This window comes from Homo sapiens, chromosome 5 (genome assembly GCF_000001405.40).
Source record: "Homo sapiens chromosome 5, GRCh38.p14 Primary Assembly".
NCBI classification, from domain to species: Eukaryota; Metazoa; Chordata; class Mammalia; order Primates; family Hominidae; genus Homo; species Homo sapiens.
Genome location: NC_000005.10, coordinates 27503132 through 27509809, shown reverse-complemented (window position 1 = coordinate 27509809; position 6678 = coordinate 27503132).

Below are 6678 nucleotides of genomic sequence, written 5' to 3'. Positions count from 1 at the left end.
TAGCACATATTGGAATTAGCATTGAGCATTCAAATACATAGACTCTCATGTGGTGATTTGTCTTTTCACCATTTAACTTCTTTTAAAGCAAGTTTATGTCTTACTTACAAACTCATTGGCCTGGAAAGGAAAATCAGAAATTCTGGATTTTAATCTCAGCTCTTATTTCCTCTAGTTTTATTGCATGGGATAATCAGTTCTTTATCTATAAATGCATGTATATCACTATTACTTAAAAATATATTTCAGTTCATAAATTCTAGCTATGTCTCTCGTTTTCTACAAAAATATTCCCAACATTTTTACTTCTACAATCCAATTGACTTGTGATGTATTTCATAAGCTTCTACAGTCCCATAGAGAAAACTAAGTCTGAGACAAAATTAAGAAAGGATATTTATTCATAAAATTGCAGCAAGAGAACACATCTGCATCACTTTTGTTTCAGTGGATTTTAACGGTGTTAGAAATGAGAGTCAATTTTATAGAGTAAGGAGAGGAAATACCTAGACAGTCTCTTATTGATAAGTGCTCTCATAGTGTTGGGAAGCAAAAGGCACTTTCAAAGTGGTCTTCAGATATATTTGGCAATCCTTAATTAGCTGTAAAGGGGCAAGCAAGCAGTTGTGGGGCATTTCAAAAGAGAAAGGATCGCTCAGTATTACTGCAGAGTGTTTACTGTAGCTGTTCATTTCTTAGAGTAAGTGGGGATCGCTAGAATGCTTTTCTGTGGTCAAGCCACAATAATGGTCCTTAATTAGGGGAGAAGAGGCTGCCATGATAGGCAGTTTCTCATTAGAAAGACTTTGATTGCCGCCACATGTGGTGGCTCATGCCTGTAATCCCAACATTTTGGGAGGCCAATGCAGGCGGATCAAGTGAGGTCAGGAGTTCAACTCCAGCCTGGCCAACATGGTAAAACCCCGTCTCTACCAAAAAAAACACAAAAATTAGCTGGGCGTGGCACTCCTCTAATCCCAGCTACTTGGGAGGCTGAGGCAGAATAATTACTTGAACCCTGGAGGTGGAGGTTTCAGTGAGCCAAGATCGTGCCACTCACTCCAGCCAGGGAGACAGAGCAAGACCCTGTCTCGAAAAAAAAAAAAAAAATTGACTGCAAATTTATAAAAATACAACCATGAATAGGGGGCTTATTCTAATGGCACACATTTAAAGTGAAAATTAAAAATTAAATTATGAGATAGTTTTTAAATACAAGATTTTTTTAAAAAATGAATTATTTAAATCAGAATTTCTAAAACTTATGGTAACTTATATTTTAGAAACAGAAAGGTGGAATTTTTTTCCAGCTATGAATCTATACAAAACATATTTAATATTAACATACAAAAATATTCTTAGTGATATCATCATATATTTCTAATATCACTTGCTTTAAGGACTTCAGGCAAAAATAAGAGGACTGCTTGTTGGCTGGTTAATTTGGCTTGTTTTTCCTTCCTGTAACAATTTGTAAGTATTATTCAGGGTTTTTCTCTGGTCTTTATATATGACACGTAAATTTACTGTATAAGATATTGCGCAGTGGCTCACGCCTGTAATCTCAGCACTTTGGGAGGCCGAGGTTGGGGGATCACAAGGTCAAGAGATTGAGACCATCCTGGCCAACATGGCGAAACCCTGTCTCTACTAAAAATACAAAAAGTAGCTGGGTGTGGTGGTGCACGCCTGTAATCCCAGCTACTCGAGGGGCGGAGGCAGGAAAATCCCTTGAACCTGGGAGGCAGAGGTTGCAGTGAGCCGAGATTGTGCCACTGCACTCCAACCTGGAGACAGAGCGAGACTCCATCTCAAAAAAAAAAAAAAAAAAAAAAAAGGAGAAAGAAAAGAGATATTTTTGCTAGGTTTTAATAATTGAACACAAATTAATGATATTTCTTATTCGTGTTGTTACTGCCTTACAACTATTATCATAGTTTAATATTTGTGTATGTGCATGCATGAGTACCTGGACCTACAAACTAAGTCCATGAACTAAACCTGTCATGTTCCAGAGTACTAACACTGAACAAAAATTTCATTTTTTTTCCACCTAACTTTCTCATGTTTCTCATCTTACTCCTTTCTGTCACATCAGCTATAGAGATGAAAAGATCTCGCATGGATAACTATTTTAAGAATAAAATATTTGTGCCCTCATTTGTTCTTTTAAAAGTCAAACAAATATAGTTTGCAAATTGAAGTATTTAGAAAAAGTTATTTTCTGCTTTTTAATTGTTTGGTACTTTAAGTGTCGTGAAGATTTATCTTGCCTAATTTAGTTTCTTGCTGTATAATTTTCACCTTCAGGAGAATACACATTCAAGATATTACTGTTGGATTAAATCCTAGAAATTTTGATGAAGCAGTTGATTGTAGAAATGGAATGGTATCAACTCGTTAATCCATGCTACCTTAACAGCTATGTTGGAACTTTCCTTTTTTACAATAAGAAATCAATAAAAAGGGAAGTAATTCTTCCTAACAATTAAGGGATTCTAATTTTCAGCATTACAGATGATTATGGATGCAATTTTAGAAAATAAATTATTAAGGAATTTCATATATTTGCAGAAGTATGATCAAAATTACAACAAAAACTACTAAATGTGATTATTTAAATCCAAATATGCTCTACTGACTTGAATATCATATTGTGCTATTTATACATTTATTCTATCATTGTGAAAATTTGTATAATGATCTAACATTGGAAATTTTAACAAAAATAAAATATTAATCAAAGAATATTTTCAAGAACTCCCATATTTATGTTCACTCCAAGAATGTTATACTGAAATACTTTTAAACTATTCTGATCATTATATATTTATATAATCATAATATTTCTATATTCTAATTGAAATTTTTATTTAAATAACACTGAGAATTGAAATGTATGGGCTGCTATATGGATTTCACCACAATTTCCCTACCAACTACTTTTATTCATAAAATAAAATGAGACATACAATTACTGCATGAATATGAGACACACAATTACTGTTTTTAAGAATATGAGACATACAATTACTTTTCTTCTTGTGACTAATACATACAATATGCATATTTCTATTGTAACTTGACAGGCAAATTTGATAAATTAATATTTTTAACATAGAATGTAACAGTGATAAATATGAGATGCATATAAATTTTAGGTAAAAGAAATATTATACATCCAAATATAATTTTTTTTTTCAAGACAGAGTCTCACTCTGTCGCCCAGGCTGGAGTGCAGTGGCACTATCTCAGCTCACTGCAAGCTCTGCCTCCCAGGTTCAAGCGATTCTCCTTCCTCAGCCTCCAGAGTAGCTGGGACTACAGGCGCCCGCCACCAGGCTTGGCTAATTTTTTGAATTTTAGTAGAGACGGGGTTTCACCATGTTGCCCAGGCTGCTGGCGAACTCCTGAGCTCAGGCAATCCTCCTGCCTCGGCCTTCCAAATATAATATTTAAGGTTAAAAAATTGAACTATGAAAAATTGAAATGATAAGCTGGAACAAAAATTCTAGATGAGATTATAAGGTGACACAAAGCAGCAAATGAAAAGTGATTTTCTTTTAGCATAATGCAGTTTATAGGCAAAGTTATCCAAGCTAAATTAAAATTATTAAAACTTATGTGGCTTCCATATGTTAGATAAGAATTCTTGTAGTTACCCATATCATAAAAAGAAAACTAAGGCACAGAGAAACTAACTCACCGGCCAAAGTTCACATGGTTAGTTAATGGAAGAGCAGATAATTAATATTTGTAGGGTGTCTTTAAGGCCAACTCCTAAACAAAGTTAGATGAGCCTTTTCCAATATTTGGATTTAAGATGTTATAATTTGCCTGCATTTATTATTCTGAGTTTGTAGAATGATATTTTAGGACATGTTCTGATAAGATTGGAAAACTTTGGCAACATATTCTTATTTGAAAATTCATAAAACCATGTATAGAATAAACACTCTGTGATGCCTTGAGGTTAGGAAGTTGTTTATGTCAGCAAGTCCCAAATTTATTTCAACATGGAATGTTATTTTCATACAGTAAATGAAATAATGGTCCTTGGAGAAATAACACCAAAAATTACTTTTAAATTATTTGCACTCGTTTTTCCTTGCAAAAATGAAGAAGTAAAATATACAGAAAAATGCGTTTGTACTAGTAAATGTAAATATTATAGCAATGTTAGTGTTGAGAAGAGAGCTGTCATAGAAACTAACAGATGGATGGATGCATAGATTCATAGTATTGAAAATCATGAAAAAATAAGATTGAATGAAGTAGAATGGTAGAGTGCTTAATGTTACAAAGTGTTCAAATTTTTTCCACAAATGCAAGCTGGTTGTATCTAACTTTTAATTCCAAACGTGCTCAACACTAGTCTTTTTTTTTTTTTTTTTTTTTTTTGAGATAGGGTCTCATTCAGTCACCCAGGCTGGAGTACAGTGGCCCAGCCACAGCTCACTGCAGCCTCCACCTCCCGGGCTCAAGTGATCCTTTCACCTCAGCCTCAGCTGGGACTACAGGCATGCACCACCATGCCTAGCTAAAGTTTTTTTTTTTTTTTTTGTGGAGATGTTATTTTCCCATGTTTCTTAAGCTGGTCCAGAACTCCTGGGCTAAAGTGATTTGCCCACTTAGGCCTCCCAAAGTGGTGGAATTGCAAGCATCAGCCACTTCACCCAGACAACAGGAGTCTGTTAATATTCGATCCATAAAGTAAATTATTGTATTTTTGTTCTCATGATGTTTCCTTTAATTTATGACACATTCTCATACTTACATAATCACATTAATCTTAGACTTAATTAATATTTATATCTTCCCCATCACACCGAAAGTATTTTAAGAGGTTCCCATGTCTTTGTGGACTTCTCCACCCTTATCATATTGCTATATACAAAATGTAAACTCTAGGTTTTGGAGGATGTACTTTCCCTTTTTCATGAATATTTGTAACAATCGCATCTGAAATAAAATTTGTTTGGATATAAACTTGTGGGTTCAAAGGCAACTTCCTTTAAGAAAGAAATTATTTCTCAATTTTTTTTTTCCATTGGGAAATCTGATGTCTATCAGGAGATGATCTGCTTTTAGTGTCTGGAAACATCCAGAGATTTCTCAGTATCTTTATTGTTAGTCTTCAGTTTCATTGTGTTTACAGTTACGGATATTTCCCTTATCTTCTCTGTCAGGTGTTCCTTTAGTCTTTTGATATAAAGAGGTCTTTCACCTTTATTTAAGTTTTGAAATCCGGTGTATACATTTCTCTCTTGGTGGGAATTCTAGCATTCAGATTTTGGCATTTCAACTTCCAGCCTTTGTAAAACTTAGGTTTCATTTTCTACTTTCTTCTTTTTTTATGTTCTGTTGCTTTTTAAGAGAGGACCTCAATATGTTCCTTTAACTAACTGATGAATGTATTTTCAAATGGATCCAGTCAGCTCCTTATCCCATTTACTGTACTATGTTTCTCACATGCACTATTTCCATTTTATTCTTCCTAGTATTTTTTCTTATATTGATAGTGATATGGTTTGGTTCTGTGTCCACACCCTAATCTCATCTCAAAATGCCATCCCCACATGAGAGAGGGTCCTGTTGGGAGGTGATTGGATAATGGAGGCTGACTTTCCTCATGCTGTTCCCATAATAGTGAGTGAGTTCTCACCAGATCTTATGGTCTAAAAGTATTTGGCAGTTACCCCCTCACTCTGTCTCTCCTGCTGCCATGTAAGACGAGCCTTGCTTCCTCTTCACATTCCACCATAATTGTAAGTTTCCTGAAGCCTGCCAACCATTTGGAACTGTAAACCTTTTATTGTTTATAAATTACCCAGACTCAGGCAGATTTATTACACAGTGCAAAAACAGACTATACAAATAATTGGTACCGTGGAGGATGGGACACTGTTATAAAGACACTTCAAAATGTGGAACCAACGTTGGAACTGGGTAACAGGCACAGATGAAACACTTTGGAGAGTGAAGAAGAAGATAGAAAGATGTAGGAAAGTTTGGAACTTCCTAGAGACTTATCGAATGATTTTGACCAACATCCTAATGGTGACATGGACAATGAAGTCCAGGCTGAGGTGGTCTCAGATGGAGATGAGGAACTTCTTGGGAAATAGAATAAAGGTCACTCTTGCTATGTTTTTGCAAAGAGACTGGTGGCATTTTGCCCCTACCCTAGAGATCTATGGAACTTTGAACTCGAGAGAGGTGACTTAGGGTATCTGGTGGAAGAAATTTCCAGGCAGGAAAGTCTTCAAGTTGACTAGGCTTTATCTAAAAGTTTACTCCCATATGCATGAACAAAGAGGTTAGCTGAAACTGGAATTTACGTTTAAAAGGGAAGCAGAGCATAAAAGTTCAGAAAATTTGTAGTCTGACCATGTGGTAGAAAAGAAAAACCCATTTTCTGGGGAGAAATTCAAGCCCACTTCAGAAATGTTCATAAGTAAAGAGAAGCTGAATGTTAATAGCTAAGAAAATGGGGAAAATGTTTCCAGGGCATGTCAAAGATGTTTACCAAAGCCCCTCCCATCATAGTCCGGGAGGCCTAAATAATTTCATGGGCCAAGCCCAGGGCCCTGCTGCTGCTCCATGCAGACTCGGGACTTGGTGTTTGCATCCCAGCCACTCCAGCTCCAGCTGTGGCTAGAAGGGGCCAAGGTACAG